We start from the raw sequence: 26,423 nt of genomic DNA on the forward strand, positions 1-26,423 counted from the left end.
GTAATGAGTGAGTTCTTGCAAAATCTGGTTGTTTACAAAGGGTGTGGCACCTCCCCACTCTCTCTCTGTCTTGCTACATGGTATGCTGGCTGCCTCTTCACTTTCCACCATGATTGTAAGGTTCCTGAGGTCCTCACCAGAAGCCAAGCAGATGTTGGTGCCATGTCTGTAATAGCCTGAAGAACTGTGAGCCAAATAAACCTCTTTTCTTTATAAATTACTCAGCCTTGGGTATTCTTTTATAGTGATGCAAAATAGATTAAGATACCTGCTGAGCCACCAGCTTGAGCAATGTGGATGGCCAAGCTCTACTTTCCAAAGGAAGCACATCATTATAAGACAGACTTACATGCTAGAAAATCCTTCTTTGGAATGATCTGAAAGCTACCTTCCTGCAATTTCTGCTTGTAGGTACCAGTTCTGTGCTCTGGGTCAGAGGGAGGGGCAAATCTGTGTCCTCTGCCACACAGTCACTAGAGAAGACCCTGAAATGCTGAGGGGAACAATCTATTTAATCTGGGTAGCATCCCTTCCCAAGCATGTAGATCCTGACTGACTCTGTACTCTTCCATGCCATGTGATTAGCTGCACATAAGTCCCCATTGCTTTAAGTTCCTGACTCAGATAATGAAGTTAATTCTTCCCTGGAAGGAGAGACAAGAGGTCATCTGATCAGGAAGAAGGAATTGTCTTTGGGTCCTCTGGAGAGGCAGCTGCAGAACAGAGTGTGGTGATTAGACAGGAAATCTCAGTATCCCTAATGCCTACAACAGCTAATTGAGGCAAAGGTATATTTACTGAGCCTTAAATTATATACTTAATTTTTTTTACCACTACATAATAAGTGTAGACTTAGTCAAAATAATATATAACCTCAAAAGACAAAAATAATTTAATAAGCAATTTTAACTTGTTATCTCATTTAAACCTTTTAACAACCCTGGAAGTTAGATTGAAATATTTTCATTTTATAGGTGGAAAAAATCAACCCTCAGAAGGTGAGTGAAATCAGCATACTCTCAGCAAGCTAGGCCAGCCTTATTCTGGGCAAGATGGAATACAGTGCCCACCTGCCCCTTGTGGAGAGGAATTTGGGAGAAGACCTGGATCCAGGGTACTAATCCACGTTCCACATGGACCATGCAGAGTAAATGGTGGCAATAGTTCCAGTTTCAAAGTTGTAATTTGGACCTTTGAATATCGTTGATAGGCAAAATAACAACCCCTCTCCCCAAATCCATGTCCTAATTCCTGAAATCTGAGAATATGTGATCGTCTATGGCAAAGGGGACTTTGCAGGTATGATTAATTTCAGGATCTGTGAATAGGAAAATTATCTTGGATTATCTGGATGAACCCAACATGATCACAAGAGTCCTTATAAGAAGGAGGCAAGAGCATCAGAGAGAGAGAGATTTGAATATGCTATGCTGCTGACTTTGAAGAAGGGGAAAGGGATCACAAGCCAAGGAATGCATGTGGCCCCTAAAAGCTGGAAAAGGCGAGGACATGAATTCTTCCCTTAGGCGTCCGGTAACAACAGCCCTGCCAATACTCTGAGTTTAGCCCAGTGAGAACTGTGACCTACAGAACAATACATTTATGTTGTTTTAAGCCAATTAATTTATGGTAATTTGTTACAGCAGCAATAGGAAACTAATACAGTATACAACCATGGTTCTGGCTTGCTTGGTATGAACCAAGCATGAACAGATAACACATGTCAGCTTGTGTCTTTGTCTGGGTTCTGCAGAAGCAGACCCTCAAACTTATGTGAATGCAGTTGCTTATTTGGGAGTGTAAAGAAGCAAAGAAGACAGAGAGGCAAGGAAATTTATTCTTGCTGAGCAAGTTACCAACTGTGGTTAATTGGGGGTGAGGCTGATGGAGGGTCTTTGGGAAATAGTGTGGGATAGGCTGCTGAAATGTGCCACCTGAAGGGCAGGAAAGCTGGAGTTTTCATCTGTTATTGGTTGATGGCTGCTCTTGGGGGTCCCTAACACTTCTTGCTTGTTCCCACATGGACTGATCAAAGTCCTCAGGCAAAGAGTTGCAGGTGTTCACATTAAGAAGTCATTGGTGTACAGGGGAATGTTGAGTGCTGAGGCAATATGGTGGGTCCATTAACGTCTGCTGAGGCTGATTTCATTGAGAGTTTGCCAGAAAAAGACAGGCTGCTCCTCATTCTGCAGATTCATGTGGATCCTTTCGGAATTAACTTGGAATGTTGCCTTGGGGTCTGAAATCTCAATAAAAGAACAGAAGGGCTTGGCCGGGTGCCATGGCTCACGCCTGTAATCCGAGTACTTTGGGAGGCCAAGGTGGGTGGATCAAAAGGTCAAGAGATCAAGACCATCCTGGCCAACATGGTGAAACCCCGTCTCTACTAAAAATACAAAAATTAGCTGGGCGTGGTGGCATGCGCCTGTAGTCCCAGCTACTCAGGAGGCTGAGGCAGGAGAATCACTTGAACCCATGAGGCGGAGGTTGCAGTGAGCCGAGATCACACCACTGCACTCTAGCCTGACAACAGAGTGAGTCTCCATCAAAAAAAAAAAAAGAACTGAAGGGCTTGAAGGCTCAGCACTTTTACTTCTTCTACCTGTCATACCTAAGTAATAACTGGATCATGTGGGCTGTGAACAGCTGACTCCAGCCACCAGCAAGGAGAAGGCATTTTTTTTCCTGGACTCTGACCTTTGATGACCCAGCAGGGAGTTCCTGGCTAGGGATAGGGGGCATTTCATGAAGAAAAGAAGAAAGGTGTTTCATAAGGACTTGCTTAAAGAGGGAGCTAGACTGTGTCTTGACCAAGGGAGGGAGGAATAAAGCTCAGGGAAAATCAAGATGACCTAAAATTTTAATGTAAAGAGGGAACAAGAGTCTCATAAAATATACTCAGCTCTGGTAAATAAATCACCTGAAATACAACTAGAAGGACACTGTGTTCAGAAGAAGGGCAGACAGAATCACACTATAGAAGATGACCTAGAAACTCATGGATCCATGTGGAGAAACACAGTGGAGACTATTCTGGTGAGACTAAAATGTGGGAAGAACAATTGTTTTAGGGGTTTTAGCAGTGGGGCTGGGGCTGGGGCTGGGGCTGGGGCTGGGGCTGGGGCTGGAGTGTCAGCTCTCCAGCATTCTGCACAAGCCTCATTCTGCTGAAAACAGGGCACATTCCTACAGTGCCCTGCTGACAACTTCCACTCCTAGACAGGCAGGTGAAGCCACAAGGGAAGAAAGATTATTCTGGAATTGATTATGACCACCAACAAAAAAACTAATTGGTAAAATGGAAGCGATAAAAGCTTTGCATAAAATGACTCTTTTACCCCAGGATTCATAAACGAGATATTGAGGATGGTAAGAAAATGGATTCTAGACTTCGGAAGGCAGATTTCCAAAACACTCCCCAAAAATGGATACAATCCTGTGGCTAGAAAATCTAACTGGTGATATGACATAAGAAAAAATGGAGACTTTAAATCTAAAATTATTACAATCCAAGAATATGTCACCTCCAGAAAGAAATGTGCCTGTACATCACGCTTTCAGATAAATTCTACTCTAGAGTATATAAGGAAAAGCTAGAAGAAGGGGCACAGCCAAGGTATATGACAGAAGTAAGACATGGGCCAGGAGGGCTTCAGGAAGACTAAATTCCAGGAAAACCATTGACTACCCCACATGCTCAAAATAGTAATAACAACTGAACATTTATTGATCTCCTTCTATATTCTAGTGACTGTGCAAAGCATATTATCCCATTTTATCCTCATATCAATCCTATGAGGTAGGAAGAGGAAACTGAGGCTCCGAGTGACCAAGTGCCTGGTTCAAATCACACAGCTAGTAAGCAGATTAAACAAAAATGTTGACAAGTAAGATGGACTGACAGCTAGTTCAACCTGGCTCAAAGGGCACTGCTTCCTGCCTCCACATGAACCTGGAGAAAGGTTTCTAGTAGTTGCCAGCAGGCTCTGTCTTTGGCATAATTGTGGCTAACATTTGAGTAAATGACCCGAATCTACATATCATAAAGCCAGGAGGCACAGAGAAGGAATGTTGATAGATAAAGTTTCAAAATTATTGCAAGCTGGACTTCTTAGACAAAAGTAAACTGGTGCTCATGCACAGGTTGAAGGGCCTTCTGAGGAAATTTCTGGGGTGGTTTCTAGTGGGGGCCTGATAACCACAACCTCACATGAGACAGGGTGTTGTGGCCAGTCTCATGAAGGCCTGGTGGTCTGAACATCTGCTTGGAGCTCCTGCACTCACGTTTGTGACGGGGTCGCTTAGGCCTGGTGGTGGCGAAGAATGTCTGGGGTACCCCATGTGGTAGCTCGATGGCAGTATCCCAGCTAAGGGTCCCCCTTCTTGCTCCTGGATTCCACTATGTTGGTCCTCATTCTGCCTTCCCTTTCTGCGGCCACACTGTCTTGCATACCCTGCCTCCTGTCTTCCTTTTCAGTGTGATCCTCTGCTTTCTGTTGTTGGTGAGTTTCTCATAGCTTTTTGTCCATTGCAAACCCCTCTTTTTATTTTTTAATGTGTTTATGTAGATATGTAATATATTATTTTTATGTTTTCTATCCTTTCTAGGATTTGGCCTAGGAAGGGCAAAATGTAATGTTTGCCCAGTCATTGAAAGCAGAAGTTGTTGCCTGAAATAGACTGTTCAAACTATCTCTGAAGTCTCTGTTTGAGAGCCGTGGAAAATGGGAACATTAAGTTATTTAATTTCAAATCCAACTCAGAAAGCACAGAGAGCTGCTTATGCTCATTGCTCAAGTGACAGCCTTTTTGACAGACCCACATAGGTGCCTCTCTAGTCAAAGACGGAAAAGACAGTCACTATAATACTTCATCAAACACCTTCTAGACATGAGGCAAATTTTTTCTTCATGAAATCTCGGAGGAAGCATTGGAATATCTCCCAGAACAACTTATAAAATATCCAGTGAAATTATAATAACTGGAGGCTGCAAAAACTAATCACTTATTTTGATGATTACATAATGTTTTTATTTTTAAACGTAGATTACAAAAGCCAAAACTTAATTTTTTCTGCACACTTATTTGAGCTATTAAAACTTCTTATAAATGCCTTATTTTCCTTCCTTCATTCCTTTTTTCCTTCATTCCTTCTTTTCTCTTTTTCTTTCTTATATTTACAAGAAAAAAATAAGAAAAGGGAAATTAAATCAAGTCTTCCTTATCTCATCTTATTATTAAGAATATGTTCTACAAATATAATGTGGCATAGTATCCAAATGTGGTTTTGCAGTTAGTGGAACTAGCAAGATTCCCAGAGTCCAATTTCATCCTTTGATATAAATTTCAGATTTTTTTAAAAAGACAAAACCACCTTGGAGAGCTAAATTCATCAGAATCAACCATGAAAGATAGGTAAGGAAATATGGATAATGCAGTGAGGGCCAGAACTCTTATCATGCATACAAGAGTTTGAGAACATCTTATAGTGTGGAGAGGCCTCTTGTTGCCTGCCCAGGATTTAAGGTTCTTGATGAGCCAACATCAACTTCCCTTCCAGGCTTATCTCTCATTATTTTCTCTGCTCTCACTTTTTCTCACACACTCTTTTTCTCTCTACTTACATGCGCGTGCACACACACACACACGGAGAGAAAGAGAGAGAGAGAGAAAGGGGAAGTTAAACAATTCAGAGAACAGTCCTACAAATTAGGACCGTATCTGCATCATGAGCATTAATATTCTGTGACTGTCATTAACCTTATTCATTTCAGGGATAAGCTGAAGTTCACCAAGATTCCCAAAATATTTTCATAGTTGATGGCAAGGCTAGGGTTGCCAGATAAAAACACAGGGTGCCTGGTTAAATCTGAGTTTCAGATAAACAATGAATATTGGGAACAGTTTATACTAAAAAAAATTACTGTTCATCTGAAATTCAGTTATAACTGGGCATCCTGTCTTTTGATTTTGCTAAATCTGACAATCCTAATAGGGGTGGTATGTCAATCAGGGTCTTGCCAGAAAAGAGATGAAACACTTAAACGGGGTAGTTCAAGGAGGGTTTTGAAAAGAGATTATTTACAAAGGTGTAGTCAGCCCCAGGAAAACAAGGGATGATGCAGTACCTGGAGTTAGAAACAGCAGGTTCAGTTTCCGTCCCCACAGGAGCAAGGAGAGGGTGAGGCTTTCAGAACCGAAAGACAGGGAGGCTCCATGGGGATGGCTGCCTGAAGAGCAATGACCTCTGCATGAGAGGCTGGACCCAACTGGTGGCCAGCTGGAAGTAAGAAAACCCTGTAAAGTGGCTCACAGATATCAGTGTCTTGGCCAGAGAGCTGGTAAAGGCAGGTGGATATTGGATCTAAAGAGGCAAATAAAACACTTCCAGCATGAGACATCTTGGGGGCTCTGGACATCCGGATGACATGGATCCAGCATATAATTAGGCCACAACACTGGGGGTAGAACCTCCTTGACTGTGAAATGCCTGCTTGGGAAGTGTCCCTTTGCTCTGGGACAGCCTCAGGGTCCCACTCCGTGGGTCTGTGTTTCTTGGGTTTTCCTTTTCTGTGTGTGTGTGTGTGTGTGTGTGTGTGTGTGTGTGTGTGTGTGTGTGTGTGTGTGTGTGTGTATGAAGTCTGGCAAATCCAAAATCTGCAGGGTGGGCCGGAAGGCTGTATGTAGATCCAGGAAGAGCTGATGTTTCAGTTCAAGACTGAAGCCTGTCTGCTGACAGACTTTCTTCTTGCTGAGGGAAGTTCAGTCTTTCATTTTATTCAGCCCTTAAACTCTTTGGAGGCTCACCCACATTTGGAGGGCAATCCATTTTAATCAAAGTCCACCAATCTAAATGTTAATCTCATCCAAAAACACCTTCACAGAAACATAAAAAGTAATGCTTTACCGAATATTTGGGCACTGTGACCCAGCCAAGTTGACACATTGTGTTAGTCCATTCTCACACTGCTACAAAGAACTGCTTGAGACGAAAAGAGGCTTCATTGACTCACAGTTCCACATGGCTTGGGAGGCCTCAGGAAACTTACAATCATGGCAGAAGGTGAAGCAGGCACATCTTACATGGCAGCAGGTGAGAAAGAGCAAGCAAGAGCAGGGAAAACTGCCTTATAAAACCATCATATCTCATGAGAACTCACTCACTGTCATGAGAATAGCATGGGGAAACTGCCCCCATGATCCAATCACCTCCCACCAGGTGTCTCCCTCAACACCTGTGGATTACAATTCAAGATGAGATTTGGGTGGGGACATAAAGCCTAACGATATCACACATAAAACTATCACAGCTGACTTTTAGTGTAGCCTTGGTCAGATGCACAAAGGTTGTCCTTGTCACCCTCTTGTGGTCCAGCTCAGCTACCAAGGTTGGACTCTTCCTATATGGTTTTGGGGACAAAGCAAGAGAAAACTTGCATTTTTTTCACCCTGACCTCTTTCTTATCTCTCCTCTAGGAACCTGAAGTAGGTGCAAGCAAGTGGCCAAGGAATGGGGGATTAGGAGTCTTGGTCCTCTCTTCCTCAATTTTAAATAAATCAGAGGAATTTTGAATAAGAATCTGCTATGATCAAAAAGCTGTTTATCTGAAATGGTTGTTATGAGTTCTTGATCAGAGAAAATATTAGATGCCAGTGTCATAAGTCCACTGGCATAAGATATATGCCTTGTGAGTGTTTGCAATATTGGGATTAATAATGGGACATCAAGCCTAGGGTTTCTCCAAGCTTTCTTGTGGACATTTCCTAGAAGGACCACTTGTATGATGGCTAGACTAACATGGTGAGTGTCTTTTGGAGAAAATGTGATGCTTTGGGGGCAGATATAAACTGGCCCTAATATTTAAGAATGACTCAAATCCTTTTTATTAGAAATAATATTCAAGTGACATTATGAACCAATTTTGGATTTCACAGAATTAACTGTGCAAAATGATCACCCTGAGAATATCTAAATCTGGGACACGCTGTGACCTTCAAAGTTTTATATTAGGAATTCCTCCTCTAGGTGTGTCACTAAGTCAAAGGATTTCAGCATTGCATAGATCACAGCAAAAATTAAATCTATGGCATTTTCTTTAGATAAAAGCTTGTGATCAGTGCTACCTGTAGTGTTCCAGTTGTCCCAGGAGCTACAGACGTTTTTAACTACTGAGATGAGAATGAAGGTTTACACTGTGTTCCTGAAGAATGAATAATGGGAGCTACATTGTCATTCTTATATTTTGTGGCAGGAACTTCCTGCCATCTTGCCGTGAGCTAATTATTGGTTTACCTCATGAATGGGCAAAGTCAGTTAATACATTCCCAAAAGATGGTACCCTCCACCCCCTGCCAATATTCTAGATGGCAGGATGTTCATAAAGTATTAGAAAATCCCAAGGTCAGTAAAATTCCCAATCAAGAACTCAGAATGTAGTATGTTGAGTTTGATTGTGTTTTTGCAGTAATATCATTAATAATCAGTTGTTGATAAGCTTAGCCAAGTCACATTTTACAAAGATTTAAATTCCCCAACAAGATCAGCAAGACGTTCAATGACTCTCAGTAAAGGTAATGTGTAAGTGTCTCAGCTAAATTGTATTTTCAGTCTCTATAGAGTCTTACCTCACTCAGACTAGAGTGCTGGAATAAAGTATGTTACCAGTTCAAGGGCATCTTGTTTGATTAAATATTCAATCAATCTCTTATACAACGCAAGAGCTCCATTTATAGATTTCAAGGGAATTAGCAAAATCATTATTGAAGGCTTTAAGCAGACGATTGACATGTTAGATTTGTACTTTAGAAGGGTCTTTCTGACTGTGGTGTGGAAAAAGGCTTGGAGTGATAAAGATTAGCAACAGGGAGACCAGCTGAGGTTCTACAGAGAATGGAAGGGTCTGAACTGGGCCAGTAGTTGTAGAGTTGATGAGGAGCTATGTACCTGGGCATCAGTCTAGACTCACAGCTCCCCAGTTACAGGGCACATAATGGACCATGGGCACTATTGCTGTGATCTAAATCCAGCCTCACGTTTGTGTTGAAGCCATGCTTCCCATGAGCTAATGTCAGCCAGTTACCAAGAGTGGCAGTAATACAAGTACGGGGATGTTTCTGGGAGACCTGGAGCTCCCCTAATGGTGTTTGTGGCTTAAAACTCCCCAGTGGCTTTGCGGAACATTCCTTGCACTGCACAACAGTGTGACACTTCCACCCAACCTTCTCTCCCTCTTTTCTTCATTCGAGGTCGCACTCATTGTGAGCTTCTCCTGGCTTCCTCCACATTTTCTCTCATAGATATTTTCCTTAACAAAAATCCTTGCATGTTTAACCTCACCTTGGCATCTGCTTCTTAACGAAGCTGGAACAACACAAGGGCAATTTCAAAAAAATTTTTTGTGTGACGGAGTCTTGCAATATTGGCCAGGCCTCAAGTGATTCTCTTGCCTCGGCCTCCCAAAGTGTTGGGATTACAGGCATGAGCCATGGTGCCCAGCCAAAAATATTTTAAAAGTAGAATTGGCAAAGGAATGAGGGAGAAATGAGTCTCCTACCTCTCCCCTGTTTCTGAGTAGCAGGAGGGTGGATGGTAGAACCCAAGAGAGGAGCAGGTTTAGAGTTGAGGGTTTCTTTATATCTCTATGGTTTCTGTGATGACAGAGGAGACACTAATGCCTGAGAGACCACTCTTTGCCTTTTCTTACTTCTAAAATGTATAAGAACGTTGCTGTTGCTGCTTCTTCATCACCTGAGGTTTGATTGTAATGGTGCAAGTGTTACACTACTGTTATTAATTAACTTCATTCCACCCTTCAGTTGTAATCCCTGCACTCTTCCAAGAACGTGACCATTCAGGTCTCCATGCTTTTTCTCTTGCTGTCCTCTATTCTTTTTCTAGGCTGTCCTCAGCCTGGAAAGCTCACCCAGAATTGCCTTCTGAAATATTTGACTTGCTGGAAGTGGCTGTGTAGGAGAATGGGAAAGCATAGTGTTTCAGTCGCGAGCTGGGCTCTTCAGCTCCAGCTCTGCTGCTAAGAGAGGCAGCTGTGTTGGTCCTGGAGAGGACTACAGGGAGTCAAATTCTTGTTCTGTCACCCATGAGCTATATGACCTTGGACAAGTTATGTCATCTCTCTGTACCTCGGTTTCTTCATCCATAAAATGGGGATGGCAAGAATCTCCATCTCATAGGGTTCTTGTGAGGTTTAAGAAGTCAAGCTTACAAGATCAGGAGATTGAGACCATCCTGGCTAACATGGTGAAACCCCGTCTCTACTAAAAATACAAAAAATTAGCTGGGCATGGTGGCAGGCGCCTGTAGTCCCAGCTACTCCGGAGGCTGAGGCAGGAGAATGGTGTGAACCTGGGAGGCGGAGCTTGCAGTGAGCTGAGATCATGCCACTGCACTCCAGCCTGGGTGACAGAGCAAGAGTCTGTCTCAAAAAAAAAAAAAAAGAAAAAGAAGAAGTCAAGCTTAACAATGACTGGCACATTGTCTGTGGTCAATATGTGAGTGGAGAATTTTTAACCTTTTTAAACCTGTCTGGGTCCTTAGTTGTAAAGCAAAGGTGTCAGACTAGATGACCTTATCAGTTGGTAAAACCTAATTCACATGCTGCCTGACCTGCTCCCCCACTCCCACTCTGAGAGCTCATCATTCCTTCCTAGGCCTTTCCACAGTGTGCTGGGACACCTCTAGTTGGTTCTCATGCCAGTTTTGCTTTATGTTTTACTTGGTTGTGTGCAAATCTGTCTACTCCACTGGATAGGAGGCTGTTTGAGTGCAGGGAATATTTTTCCTTGTAACCCCAGAGTGATCAGCACAGCAGGAACACAAAAATTCTTGTGATTAATTAAATGATTAAGGATGGCTTCTAGAGAGAGATGGTCAAAAGTGGGATTCTTTTTAATAGCAGATATGTTGATTAAATTCTCACTTGTACCAGTCACTGTGCTTAAGTACTTTTTAAACATTATCTCACTTAACTCTCATCAGCCCTAAAGATAGGCATTATATTCCCATTTTGCAAATGAGAAAAGAGGCTCACAGAGATTTAGGAACTTGCTAAGTGAGTGGCAAAACTGGGATGGAAACCCAGCTCTGTTGGCTTCTATAGACCATGTTATTCACGCTACATTGCCAGAGTCTTTGATGCTAAACATTCCTCAAACTCTTATAGACTAATTTGTGTTCATTATGGTCTGAATGTTTGTGTCCTCCCAAAATTCATGTGTTAAAGTCCTAATCCCCAGTGTGATGGTATTTGGGAGTAAGGCTTTTGGGAGGTAATTAGGGTTAGAACAGGTCACGAGGCTGGGGCTCTTATGATGGGATTAGTGCCCTTGCAAGAAGAGAAAGAATCTTTCTCTCTTTCCATGCTCATACATGGAGGAAAGAACACGTGATGACACAGCAAGAAGGTGGATGTCTATAAGTCAGGAAGAAAGTCTCACTAGGAACTGAATCTACCAGCACCTTCTTAGACTTCCCAGCCTCCAGAAGTGTAAGAAATGTCTATCATTTAAGCCACCTAGTCTATGATAATTTGTTATAGTAGCCCAAGCTAAGACAGCGTTGTATTTCACTTCCATCTTGGCCACACACTCAATAAACACTATGTTGTCACCTGCCTGCCAATTGCACACCTCCCCATCCATCCCTGGCAATTTTGGTTGTCATTCCAGGCTGGCTCTCTCCAGTGGTCCATGCACTAGACCTCTCCCTCCCCATCAAAAACATCCTGTCCGCTCAGAACCTTGCCAGTTGGATGCGTTAGTGCACATTAAGGTGTTAAACAGTTCAAAGGGTTGTTTCTTTGGGCCAAGACTCTTGCTCAGGCTATTGATAACTTGAACCCCACATAGCAGCTCTTTGAGTTCAAGGCAGGCTGGTGGGGAGATACAAGGGGAGCAGAAGGGCCTTTTTGTCCCTCCTGAATAAGATCTCAGCTCTCAGACACTGTTACTTATGCAATTCCATCAGTTTCTTGAGAGAGGTATGATCCTGGGGGGAATCTGTTAATAGAAACATAAATCTAGGAAGGCCTCAGAGCCTCTCATTTCACAGTTAGGTAACTAAAGCCCAGCAAGGTTACTCACAATGACACATCCAAAGTGGCAGAGCCAAGGCCAGAAGGAAAGCTCTGTCAAGGAAGGCACATCCTTCTTAGAGCAGGGCTCACTCTTGCATGCATTCCCTGCTTCCCTTTCTTTCTCCTCCTCTCACATACTTCCTTGTTGCTTTTGTTGAGCAGGAGGGCTAAATCACAGCCAGTTTTCAGAGGTCAGTTTCCAGGGTAGGCAGGTGCTGAGGTTATGCAACTACATGGTGAATCATTCTGGAAGGACAGCTCAAGCACATTCTCATGTGGTCAGCTCCACAGGATGTGGCATTTTTCTACAGCTGCAGAGAAGCTGGAACAATCCTATCTGCAGGATAAAACCCCTCTTAAGAGTTTTAACTGTTTTAACCAAGCCTTTGAGGAGCTCTCCGCGCAGCAACTACAACAATCCTATGGGCAGCCACGGGGGATGGAAAAACCCTTTACAAAGACGATTTAACCCCCAAGTTTGGGTAAATAAAATGTGGATCTACCAGGAGAAAATAAATATCCAGGAAAGGAGCCATTCCTTAGAAAATTATAAGTGACCCAGATTGACTCAAAATTAGAAAACCTGTTCAGACCAATAATTATAGAAGACCCAGAAACATTGTCCAAGAATTAACTGAAAGAAAAGTCACCAGTTCCTGGTAGGAATATAATTGAGTAATTAAAAAAAAAACTTTTAAGGAATCATTTTTTGTTATTGTATAAATTATTTTAGAACATAAAAATGTGAAAAGCTCCTCTGATTGATTTCACAAAGCAAATTTAACCCTGGTACTAAACTATGACAACTGGCATTCCCAAAAGAAAATGCTGAACCAATCATCTCATTTACAAGTATAGATATAAAAATTCTAAATAAAGAGGCTACCACTCAAAAGTATACTGAAAAGAATATGCAGGTATGCAAGTAGGGTTCAGGGTACTAGGAATGCAAGAATGTTTCAAAATCAGGAAAGCTAGAAATAGAATGAATCACGTAAGTAGACCACAGAGCATTAACACAGTCTACATCTATTCCTGATGTTTAAATACGAGTAGAATGATATTTACTTGAGGTGCTGGTTATTCCCAGTTTTTGCTCCCAGATTTGTTTTTCTCCTCCCTTTTCAGTTCCTGTTTTGTGTCCTTCTGTGGCTGACCTCCACAGACCACATCTTTCAGGCTCTCAGATCCTCTGTCTTCAGACTGTGCTCAGCCATTGGGTATGGGCAGAGGAAGGAAGGTGAAGGGAAGGATGCTTGGAGTGTTTGTCCCCTCTATCCCTTTCATCCCCTGCGGTTTCAGCAGTGGCAGTGTTCAGCAGTGGATGTGTTCCTCCTCAACTGCAGCTCCTCTAGGCAGACCTTCCGGCATGGCTATGACTCTCACAGGCTCCAGTGATATTTTTCCCTCCCTTTTTTCCTTCAGGTTTACGGGTATTAACAGATTCCCACAGTTGCTATTCCCTGGACACCTCACCATCTTTTTGTGGTTCCCTTAACCCGTCCAATCTCTATGCTTAGTTTCCTTGTTCAATTCTGTTTAGTTAAATATTTTTCGGCATATTGTCTTACTGCCAAGATCTTGACTAATACATCCAGCATGATGAATACTATTTATCATAGATCAATAAAGAGTATTATATTTATTAGAGTAATTAAATTATCTCATAATGTAATAATAGATGGAAAACCCTGAATTTTCCTCTTTGACAATTTTTGGGTCAATGAGAAAATTGAAACTGAAATTTCAAACTCCATGACTTAGCAATAATAAAATACTGCATGTCAAAATTAATGTAAGATGGCCAAAGCTGATTTCACAGAAAAATAAAGCCATAAACACATATATTAGACACTACAAATGAAAATTTTAAAAAATGTGCTCCAGAAGTTAGGAAAAAATATCACAAGTAGCATATGGAAAGCATAAATAATAAAGTAAAAGCAGAAATTAATGAATTACAAGACTGAAAAAGAAAAAACAAATTTTAAAAATTTGAAAAAATCATATTAGAAATAAAAAATAAAAAATTAGAAAGAAGAATTAATGAAATGTACAGAGGACATTCAAAAAAGTTTCAGGGAATGTTTGGCAAACCTGGGTACAAATTAAATTGAAACTTGGATGAAATAATTAAGTGTCTTAGAAAACACAGAAATTACCAAAATTCACCCTAGAGAAAATAAGAATTCTAAATAGATGAATAATCAGAAATTAAGACTAAAACATACCCTAATCACCAGGCCCAGATGGTTTCTCAGGTAAATAATTTCAAATGTTCAAGGAACAAAGAATTCCAATACTTAAACTGTCTCAAAGCACAGCAAGATAAGAAGAGCTTCCACGGGAAGCCAAAAATAACACCACCACTCAAATCAGAGTACAAGGAAGATGACCAAACTCATTTATGAATATTGCTGTTAAAAATGTATGAATAATAAAAATTAGCAAGTAGACTGCACAGATAAAAAAAGAAAAGGTCTCTGTCATGAAAGCAAAAAAGAAGATGGGATACCTTGGTAATAAAAATTCTGCAGGTTACTGGGATCCAAGCAGTCCATTTTGATACCCAGAGATTTGCAACAGCTTAAAAAAACTTGCAGATGAATCATATAGCCTACAAATATGGAAAAAAATTAAGTAAAATTTTGGTATGTAATCAATGCAAAAAATATATATAGATGGTAGTCTATTTTTATCATTTACTATCATAAATTATGCTCATCTATTATTAAAAGTTTAAATTTATCAAAACTTATGCATACACATACAGGCCATACATGTTGCCTTTTGCATGTAATGTAAATATACAATACATGCAATATATTGTATTTTGAGAGAAATGTAAATATACAATATTAAATCATAACTGCATAAACTTAATTAGAATACATACTGTACTACTGTAATAATTTTGTATTTACCTCTTGTTACTACTGGGTCAGCTCCAGTGTTGGGGATATCTGCTTAAAACACCATGTGCTGCTATTCATCTCCTTGTGAACAGTTTGTCTCTCCAGTAAATTGCATATCACATTAAAAAATGATCTTTTGTGGTTTCCATGTATTTTTCATATTGCAATACCATAAACCTTGAATAACATCATGGGACCCATACAAACGTGCCAGTACTTGAAGTGCTCCCGAGTGTCAGAGAAAAGTCATGACATCACCAGAAAAGACAGAGTTGCTTGATATGCACCATCAATTGAGGTCAGCAGTTGCAGTTGTTCACCATTTCAAGATAAATGAAACCAGTGTAAAGATCAAAGAAAGAAAGAGAAAGAAAGAAGAAAGAAAGGAAGGAAGGAAGGGAAGAAAGAAAAAGAAAGAAAGAAAGAGAAAGAAAAGAAAGAAAGGAGAGAAAGAAAGAGGAAGGAAGGGAGGAAGGAAGGAAGGAAGGAAAAACAATTTCATGAAGCCATCACTGCATTAAAAAAAAGTGCATGAAACCTTGCACTTTTTGTGAAGTACTTTTTATCACATATTGAAAATGTGGCTTTTCTGTGGGTGCAGGATTGCTATAAGAAAGGCATACCTTTATACTCTAATATGATTCAAGAAAAAGTGAAGTCATTATATGAAAACCTAAAGCAAATGGAAGGCAAAGAATCTAAAGCCTGAGAATTTAATGCCAGAAAAGGATGGTCTGATAATCTTAGCGAAAGGCCTGACTTTTAAATGTTAGACCTAAAACCATAAAAACCCTAGAAGAAAACCGAGGCAATACCATTCAGGACATAGACCTAGGCAAGGACTTCATGTCTAAAACATCAAAAGCAATGGCAACAAAAGCCAAAATTGACAAATGGGATCTAATTAAACTAAAGAGCTTCTGCACAGCAAAAGAAACTACCATCAGAGTGAATAGGCAACCTACAGAATGGGAGAAAATTTTTGCAATCTACTCATCTGACAAAGGGCTAATATCCAGAATCTACAAAGAACTCAAACAAATTTACAAGAAAAAAACAACCCATCACAAAGTGGGCGAAGGATATGAACAGACACTTCTCAAAAGAAGACATTTATGCAGCCAACAGATACGTGAAAAAATGCTCATCATCACTGGCCATCAGAGAAATTCAAATCAAAACCACAATGAGATACCATCTCACAGCAGTTAGAATGGCAATCATTAAAAGGTCAGGAGACAACAGGTGGTGGAGAGGATGTGGAGAAATAGGAACACTTTTACACTGATAGTGGGACTGTAAACTAGTTCAACCATTGTGGAAGACAGTGTGGCGATTCCTCAGGGATCTAGAACTAGAAATACCATTTGACTCAGCCATCCCACTACTGGGTATATACCCAAAGGAATATAAATCATGCTGCTATAAAGACACATGCACACGTATGTTTACTGTGGCACTACTCACAATAGCAAAGACTTGGAACCAACCCAAATGTCCATCAATGATAGACTGGATTAAGAAAATGTGGCACATATACACCATGGAATACTATGCAGCCATAAAAAATGATGAGTTCATGTCCTTTGTAGGGACATGGATGAAGCTGGAAACCATCATTCTCAGCAAACTATGGCAAGGACAAAAAACCAAACACCGCATGTTCTCACTCATAGGTGGGAATTGAACAATAAGAACACTTGGACACAGGAAGGGGAACATCACACACTGGGGCCTGTCATGGGGTGGGGGGAGGGGGGAGGGATAGCATTAGGAGATATACCTAATGTAAATGACGAGTTAATGGGTGCAGCACACCAACATGGCACATGTATACATATGTAACAAACCTGGACATTGTGCACATGTACTCTAGAACTTAAAGTATAATGAAAAAAATATATATATATAAAATAAAGAACAAGTGAAAAATTATGACATATATAAGGTATTAATAAAAGTGCTTCTTAACACCAAAAAAAAAAAAAAAGAAAAAGGCTTGACTTTAAAATGTCAAGATAACAGGAGAAACATCTTCTGCCAACTAAGAGGCAGCAGACAAGTTCCCAGACACCTTCAAGAAAGTCACCAAGGAGAAAGGACATTTGCCTGAACAGATTTTTAATGCAGATGAAAGTGCCTTATTCTGGGGGAAAATGCAACAAAAGAGATTTATGAGTAAGGAAGAGAAGTAAGCACCAGGATTTAAGGCAGAAAGAGATAAGCTAACTGTATGTTGTACAAATGCATTCGGGTTTATAATCAGGACTGCCTTTATCTACAAAGCTGCTAACCTCTGGGCCTTGAATTGAAAAGACAAATATGAGCTGCTTGTCTTTTGGTTATACAACAAAAATGCATAAACAATGAGAACCCTTTTTCTGGATTACATCCATTGATGTTTTGTCCCTGAAGTAAGGCAGTACCTTGCCAGTAAGAGACTGCCTTTTAAAGTTCTTTTGATATTCGACAATGCCTCTGGCCACCCAGAATTCCACAAGTTCAATACCAAGGGCATTAAAGTGGACTATTTGTCCCCAGACACAATGTCTCTAATTCAGCCTGCAGATCAGGGGATCATAAGGACCTTTAAAAAATCATTACATATGGTACCTTATGGAAAGGATTGTCAATGCTATGGAAGAGAACCCCGTTAGAGAGAACATCATAAAAGTGTGGGAGGATTACACCACTGAAAATGCCATCGTTGTCACAGGAAAAATCGATGAAAGCCATCAAACATAAAATAATAACTTTCTGCTGGAGAAAACTGTGTTCGGATGTTGTGCATGACTTCACAGGATTTACAACAGAGTCAGTCAAGGAATTCATGAAAGAGATTGTGGATATGGCAAAAAAAAAAAAATAAAGTGGTGGGTGAAGGGTTTCAAGATATGGATTTTGGAGAAATTTGAGAACTAGTAGACACCACAGCATAGGAATTAACAGATGATGACTTGATAAGGATGAGTGCTTCTGAACCAGTGCCAGATCATGAGGAAGAAGATGTAGAAGCACCAGTGCCAAAAACTTTAGACAATCCGACAAAAAAAGTTTTAATTATTCAAGAGTAGTTACGACTTCTTTTGTGACAAGAATGATACAGGCACTGAAGCTAAAGCAAATGGTGGAAGAATAATTGGTACCATACAGAAACATTTTTGGAGAAATGAAAAAGCAAAATGTCAGACAGAAATTGTCATGTATTTCCATGGTTACACTAAGTGTGCTTGCCTCTCCTGCTTCCCCTTCCACCTCCTTCATTTTGTCTGCCTCTGCCACACCTGAGACAGCAAAACCAATCTCTCCTCTTTCTCCTCCTTAGTCTATTTAACCTGAAGACATCAAGGATAGAGACCCTTACCATGATCCACTTCCACTTAATGAATAGTTAATATATTTTCTCTTACTATTTTCTTAACATTTTCTTTTCTCTAGCTTTATTGTGGGAATACCATATATAATATGTGTAACATACAAAATATATATTAATCAACTGTTACATAATCAGTAAGGCTTCTGATCAATAGAAGGCTATTAGTAGTTAAGTTTTGGGGGAGTAAAGAGTTATATGATTTTCAACTGCATGGAAGATCAGTTCCCCTACCCACTGCATTGTTCAAGAGTCAACTATATATTAGTAGAATAAGTATCTAATTTTGGAACACTTTCATCACCCCAAAAGAAAACCTATACTCATTAGAAGTCATTTTCTCCATCCCATTCCCACATACCCTAGGCAATCACTAATGTACTTTCTATCTCTGTAGATTTACCAATTCTGGACATTTCATGGAAACAGAATAATACAATATATGACTTGTGACTGGCTTCTTTCATTTAGCATCATGTTTTCAAGGTTCGGCCATACTGTAGCCCCTATCAATACGTTATTTCTTTTAGTGTTGAATGATATTCCATTGTATGACTATACCACATTTTATTTATCCATTTATCAGTTGATGGACTTTTGGGTTGTTTCTACTTTTTGCCTATTATGACCAAGGCTGCTATGAATATTGCTATTTGTGTACAAATCTGTGTGTAGAAATATGCTTTAATTCTCTTGGGTATATACCTATGAGTGAAACTGCTTGGTCATATGGCAACATTGTATTTAAACTTTTAAGGGAATGCCAGACCATTTTTCAAAGCAGATGCAATATTTAATATTCCCACCAGCATTGTATGAGTATCCTGATTCTTCTATATTTTTGCCAACATTTGCTATTTTCTGATTTTTTAAATTATAGCTGTCCCAGTAAGTGTAAAGTAGTATCTCATTATGGTTTGATTCACATTTCCTTGATGGCTAATGGTGCTGAGCATCTTTTCATATGCTTATTGGCTATTTTTGGTATATTTTTGTTAGATAGATGTTTATCCAGATCCTTTGTCCCTTTTTAAATTGGGTTATTTGTCTTTTTATTATTGAATTATGAAGGTACTTTATATGTTTTGGATGCAAGAAACTTAGATGTGTGAGTTGAAAATATTTTGTCTTAATTTATAGATTGCCTTTTTTACTTTCTTAATGATATTCTTTGTAAAAAGTATTTAATTTTGATGAAGTCCAATTTATCTTTTTTTGTTGCTTGTGCTTTTGGTGTCATATCTAAGAAACCTTTGTTTAACTCAGGACACAAAGATTTACTTCTATTTTTCTGGTAAGAATTTTATAGTTTTAACTCTTACATTTATGTTTATGATCCATTTTGAGTTAACTTTTGTGTATGGTATGAGGTAGAAACTCAATATCATTTTTCAAATGTGAATAACCAATTGTTCCAGTATCATTTGTTGAAAAGATTTTCTTTCCTTATTGAATGTCTTGGCATCCTTGTTTAAAATTGATCGCAAATGTCAGAATTTCTTTATAGACTCTCAATTGTATTCCATTGATCTGTATATCTATTCTTATACCACTACCAATCTGTCTTAATTACTGTAGCTTTACAGTAAGTTTTGAAATAAAAATGTGAAGTCTTCAACTTTATTTTTCCTTTTCAAGATTGTTTTGGCTATTATGGATGCATCATATTTTCCTGTGAACTTTTGAATCAGCTTGCAAATTTCTGCAAAAAAGTCATCTGGGATTTTAATAGGGTTTACACTAAATCTATAGATCAATTTGGCAAGTATTGCCTGACTAACAGTGTTGAGTCTTCTGCCACATAACATGAGTGCATTTCCGTTTACTTAGTCCTTTATACATTTATTTCAACAGTATTTCACAGTTTTCACTGGACAAGTCTTGCACTTTTTACATCTAATTCTAAGTTTTTAATTCTTTTTGATGCTACTGCAAATAGAATTGTTTTCTTAATTTCATTTTCAGATTGTTTATAAAATTAACTTTTGTATGTTGTCCTTGTATCCTCCTCTCTTGCTGAACTTATTTATTAGTTGTAGTAGTGTTTTGTGGATTCCTTGGGATTTTCTATATACAAGATAATGTCATCTACAGATAGAAATAATTTAGGTTCTTCCTTTCCAGTCTGGATACTTTTCATTTCATTTTTTTGCCTAATTGCCCTGGCTGGAACTTTCAGTACAAGATTGATTGAAAAGTGGTGACAGTGGATATCATTATCTTGTTCCTGATCTTAGGTGGAAATAATTTAGTTTTTTACCATTAAGAATGATGTTAACTGTGGTTTTTTCATAGGTAATCTTTATCAGGTTGAGGAAGTTCTCTTTTATTCATAAATGTTGTTGCTATCTATTTAATCATCAAATGGGATTAGTTTTTGTCAGATATTTTCTCTGCATTTATTAAAATGACCATGTAAGAGGGTTTGGTCCTTCATTCTATAATGTGCACATTAATTGATTACACTGATAGAGTTTTGGATGTTAAAACAACTTTATATTCCTGAGATAAATTCCACTAGGGAATTTATATTCCTGAGATAAATTCCACTAGGGAATTTATATTCCTGAGATAAATTCCACTAGGGAATTTATATTCCTGAGATAAATTCCACTAGGGAATTTATATTCCTGAGATAAATTCCAACTTTTACATGTTGCAGGATTCTGCCTGCTAATATTTTATTAAGAAATTTTGCATCTATATTTATGAAGAATATTCGTCTGTAGTGTTAGTTTCTTGTGATATCAATTTTGTTTTGGTATCAGTGAAATACTGCCCCATAGAATGATTTGGGAAGTGTTCCCTCCTCTTTTTGGTAGAGTTTTAAAAAAAAAATTAGCATTATTTGTTCTTCAAATGTGTGTTAGAATTCACTAATGAAGCCATTTGGGTCTTGGCTTCCCTTTGGGGATAACTTTTAAGCTAGTAAATCAATCCCGTTATTTGTTATAGGGCAATTCAGATTTTCTGTTTCTTCTTGAGTCAGTTTTGGTGTTTTGTGTCTTTCTAGAAATTTGTTCCTTTTATCTAGGCTATCTAATCTGTTGGTGTACAATTGTACATAATATTTCCTTATAATTCTTTATATTACTCTAAGATCGGTAGTAATATCCTCTCTTTCATTTTTTTAGAGACAGAGCTTCACTCTGTTGTCCAGGCTGGAGTGTAATGGCACAACTTTAGCTTACTGCAGCCTCAAACTCCTGGGCTCAAGCTGTCCTCCCACTTCAGCCTTTCTTATTCCAGATTTTGGTAATTTGAGTTTCCTCTCTTTTTCCTTGGTCAAGCTAGTTAAAGGTTTGTCAATTTTATTGATCTTTTCAAAGAGCCAACTTTTTGTTTCATTGATTCTCTCTGTTGTTTTTCTGTTATCTATTTCATTTATTTCTGCTTCAATATTTCCTTCCCTCTGCTTGCTTTCAGTTAAGTTTGCTCTTTCTTTTTTCATTTCTTAAGGTGGAAGGTAAGGTTATTGATTTGAGATTCTTCTTCTTTTTTAATGTAGATATTTATAGCTATACATTTCCCTGTGAGCACTGCTTTTGCTGCATTACAAAAGTTTTCATTTGTTGTGTTTAGTTACATGTATGTCAAAGTGTTTTCTAATTTTCCTGTTATTTACTTTTTGATCCATTGGTTATTTTGAAGCATGTTTAATTTTCACATATTAGTACATTTTCAAGTTTCCTTCTGTTACTGATTTCCAATTTTATTTTATTATGGTTAGATAACATACCTTGTATGATTCCTTGAAAATTTATTGAGGTTTGCTTTATGTTTATTGTTTATTCTGGAAAATGTTCCATGTGTGCTTGACAAGAATGTGTATTCTGCTGTTGTCAGGTGGATTACTTTCTATATACATCTCTTAGATCTAGTTGGTTTATAGTTTGTTCAAGTCTTCAATTTTCTTATTGAGCTTCTGTCTATTGTTGCATCCATTATTGAAGTTGGGGTACTGAAGTCTCTGTTATTGTTGAATTGTCTATTTCTCCTTTTTATTCTGTCAGTTTTTCTTTCATATATTTTTGGGCTCTGTTGTTATGTGCACATATGTTTATAATTGTTATGCTTACCAGATATATTGAAAATTTATCATTATAAAATTTCCTGCTTTGTTTCTAGTAAAAATTTTTGTTTTAAGGTGGATTTTGTCTGATATTAATACAAACATTTCTGCTTTCTTTTGGCCATTATTTGCATGATGTATCTTTTTCTGTCTTTTTACTTCTAACCTGTTTGTGTTTTGAATCTACAGTGGAACCTTATAGCCAACAGACTGATGAATCATATTTGTTTAAAATCCATTTTCCCAACCTCTGACTTTTAATTAGAGGGTTTAATCCATTTACATTTAATATAATTGTTAAAATAGGATTTATGGCTGTCATTTTGCTATTTGTTTTCTATATGCCTTATGACTTTTCATTCCTGTTCTTCCATTATTGCCTTCTTTTGTTTTAAAAGGATATTTTCTAGTATATAATTATAATTCCATTTTTAACCATATTTTTTGAGTTCTTTTCTTAGTGGTTGCACTGAGAATTATAATTAACATCTTAACTTAAAACATCCTACTTTGGATTAATATTAACTTAATTTTATTAATATCTAGAAACTTGGTGTCAATATTGCTTGATTTCATCTGTACTCTTTTGTGTTTTTATCACAAATTAAATCTTGATATAAGCCCACCCATACAATGTTATAATTGCTTTGTGAAACTGTCTTTTAAATCACATAGCAGAAGAAAAGATTACAAAATGTATATTTATACTGTGGTTTACATTTGTCTATGTAATTACCTTTACTGGTGCTCTTTATTTCTTTGTGTGAATTAGAGTTACCATCTAATGTCCTTTCATTTCAGCCTGAGGAACTGTCTTTGTTATTTCTTGTAAAGCAGATTTACTATTGATAAATTTTCTCTATTTTAGGTTGTCTGAGAATGTTTTAAATTCTTTTTCACTTTCCAAGGGTAATTTTGCTGTATGCAGAACTCTTGGTTAACGACATTCTCTTCCCCTCACCCTCTAGTACTTTAAATATGTCATTTCACTGTCTTCTGGCTTCCATGGTTTCTGTTGAGAAGTCAGCTACTAATCTTATTAAGGATTTCCTTTATGTAATGAATTGTTTTTCTCTTGCTATTTTCAAGATTCTGTATTTGACTTTGGCTTCCAACAGTTTGATTATAGTATCTCCTTGATAGTATGTTACTTAGTGTTTGTTCAGCTTCTTCAATGGGTTGATTAAAGATTTCTGTTTCTCCTCTCCTTCTGAAATTCCCATTATACGTATTTTAATGTGTTTGATGGTGTCTCGCAAGTCTCTAAGGCTGTGTTCATTTTCTTCCATCTTTTTCTTACTATTCTTCAGGCTAGATAATCTTTGTTGAATGATTTTCAAGTTTGTTGATTCTTCTGCCCACTCAAGTCTGCTGTTGAAACCTGATAGTATTTTTTCACTCAAATAATTGTATTTTTGCTCTTTTTAAAAAATAATTTTTATTCATTTGGTGATATTTTCTACTTAATGAGTCACTGCTGTCACACTTTATTTAATTGTTTGGCTATAGTTCCTTTAGTTCTTTGAACATATTTATAAAATTGAACATCTTTGTCTGGTAAGTCCAACATCTAGTCCCCCTTCAGGGATAATTTTCATTAACTGCTTTCTTTTCTTTGTATAGGTCACACCTTCTTATTTCTCTATGTGTTTCACAATTTTCATTGAAAATTGGGTACCTTAGATAATATTATGTGGTAATTTTGGGAATCATTTAGGGTTTGTTGTTGTTCATGCTTTTGTTGCTATTGTCTGTATTCTTTGTGGTTTGTGAAGCTTCTGCTCAATTAGTTTAGTGATTAGATGATGTTTGGCCAGAGATTTTTTTGTTTTTTTTTTTTTGTTGTTATTTGTGATGGACTCTTGCTCTTGTCACCCAGGCTGGAGTGCAATGGCATGATCTCGGCTCACTACAACCTCTACCTCCTGGGTTCAAGTGGTTCTCCTGCCTCAGCCTCCTGAGTAGCTGGGATTACAGGTGCCCGCCACCACACCGGGCTAATTTTTGTATTTTTAGTAGAGACAGGATTTCACCATGTTGGCCAGGCTGGTCTCAAACTCCTGACCTTGTGATCTGCCCACCTCAGCCTCCCAAAGTGCTGGGATTACAGGCATGAGCCACTGCGCCTGGCCAGTCAGAGTTTTTTTTTAATGCCTTGAGCCGATACATCTTCCAATTTTTGCTGAGGGACTCTGTGTTTGTAAAATCATGTCTTTCAACACTCAGACAGTTTACACCTTTACCTTCGACTTTACTTTCTACTAGCTCAGGGCCTCAAGATCAGCCAGTGAGGAGGGATTGGGGTATTCTCAGGTCTTTTCTTCAATGCATATAGCATTGCATGGCATGCATCCTTCTAGGTCCCCAGAAATATGTTAGAGATTTTCAAGGTCCTTTCTGGCATATTGGTCCCTAGATCTCCCTTTTAACTATTGGGCAGGTTCTTGCTTACCTCAACTGGTATTATTACAGCTTTGGAAAACTGTGCTGTTAAATAATTGACACTGATTTTTTTTAAAGCTTTTTCATTAAAAACTTTTTAACTGACAAATAATAATTGTACATATTCATAAGGTACGTAGCAATGCTTTCATACGTATAATGAAGAATATTCAAATCAGGATAATTAACATATTCATCTCATTTATCATTTCTTTGGGATCATTCAATATTATCCTTCTAGCTATTTGAAACTATATAATATATCATTGTTACTATGGCCACTGATTATTTTGACAAACCTTCTGAAGACAGGACTTTTCCTATAGGGTGAGATCTGAGTTAAGTAATGACAGCATGTTGCAAATGGGGTTTCTCCAGGGAACTATGAGGTAGACCACATAGTGACAACGCTCTAGGGTGGGGCTTTTTGAGACGCTCCAAACGCGGTACATGTTGACTGAATGGCTGCTGATTTTCAAGGCTACTGCAGAGATGGAAAGACAGGAATGAGAGTAGGTCAAGTTAAAGTGCCATGAACCCTGCTGTTCTTACTGAGGTAAGCAGTTTTCGTCAAATGAATGGTCTTCACGTTGTTGCAGGGCTTTGGTTAATCTTAGAGTTCTGAAAACTTTGATTTAAACATTTTTGTGACTGTTTTATTCCTTTTCGGAAGAGCAGACTTATGGAGGCCTTTCTTTTAGCAATTTGCATGTCCAATCTTGTTTAATTTTTTAATATTGTGAGTAGTGTGATTACATTTTCTAAGAGTTCATATAATAAAAATGAGAACAGCTACAGTACAAATGCCAGCATAACCTAGACATCACTGGGAAAACAAAAGGCTCATTGACTGTGTAATTTTAATGAAGGGTGTAAGGACACATGTAACTGGACTAAGGAGATAAAGAATCAAAACATAGCATATTATGTGATATGTGAAAAAAATGTTGAATTGTGCCTGATGATGAAGGAGACATGAAAACAGATGGACACTGCATCTCCCAAATCCAGAAAGAGACAGATACGTACTTCTAAATCAATCAAATAATTTTTCATCTCCAAACAATACAATAAAGCTTAGCTGAAAATAGTACCTGCTGAATTAACTCAAGATAACCAACAAACATGTATTATCATGTAATTCCCTTGTTACCTGAAATTGAGTGAAATTTCCTTTCTTGATTAAAATAGCAATTAAACACAATTATAATGTCCTGTGAGTGAACCAAAGGGAAAATTTTGTTAACAGATGTTGGTGTTGACCCCTTACAGTGTAGCACAGATTTTTTTCAGCTCTTACCAATGGTCATACTTTCTACCATGTATCAAATAATGCATCTTATCCTGAAAACCAGCAACAGCTTGTAGGAATTAGTTTCCAGATCTCCACAAATGTCCATCCATTTGGTAAATACAGGCTTGTTTTGGAGAGCTGGAAACTAATTCCTATCAATCTAAAAACCTGCTGCTGCTAGTAAGTAAAATATTTTTATTATATTAAGTAACCCATGCCAAACACTTTCACTGAG

At 38.3% G+C, this 26,423-nt stretch overlaps 1 long non-coding RNA gene across 5 annotated transcripts in view; it reads left to right on the forward strand.

Moving 5' to 3' along the window:
• The window catches only part of LOC105377043 (uncharacterized), a 191,504-nt gene that overhangs the window by 68,417 nt on the left and 96,664 nt on the right, over window positions 1–26,423 (forward strand). For 2 of the 5 annotated variants that reach the window (XR_007095886.1, XR_007095883.1), the window contains exon 4: window positions 4,609–5,113. The exons of the other annotated variants lie outside the window; for them this stretch is intronic. This is a non-coding gene — a long non-coding RNA (uncharacterized LOC105377043). Of the gene's footprint in view, window positions 1–4,608; window positions 5,114–26,423 lie in introns of those variants that run through there. 5 annotated transcript variants of the gene reach the window in all.

This window comes from Homo sapiens, chromosome 3, assembly GCF_000001405.40.
Source record: "Homo sapiens chromosome 3, GRCh38.p14 Primary Assembly".
Taxonomy (NCBI): Eukaryota; Metazoa; Chordata; class Mammalia; order Primates; family Hominidae; genus Homo; species Homo sapiens.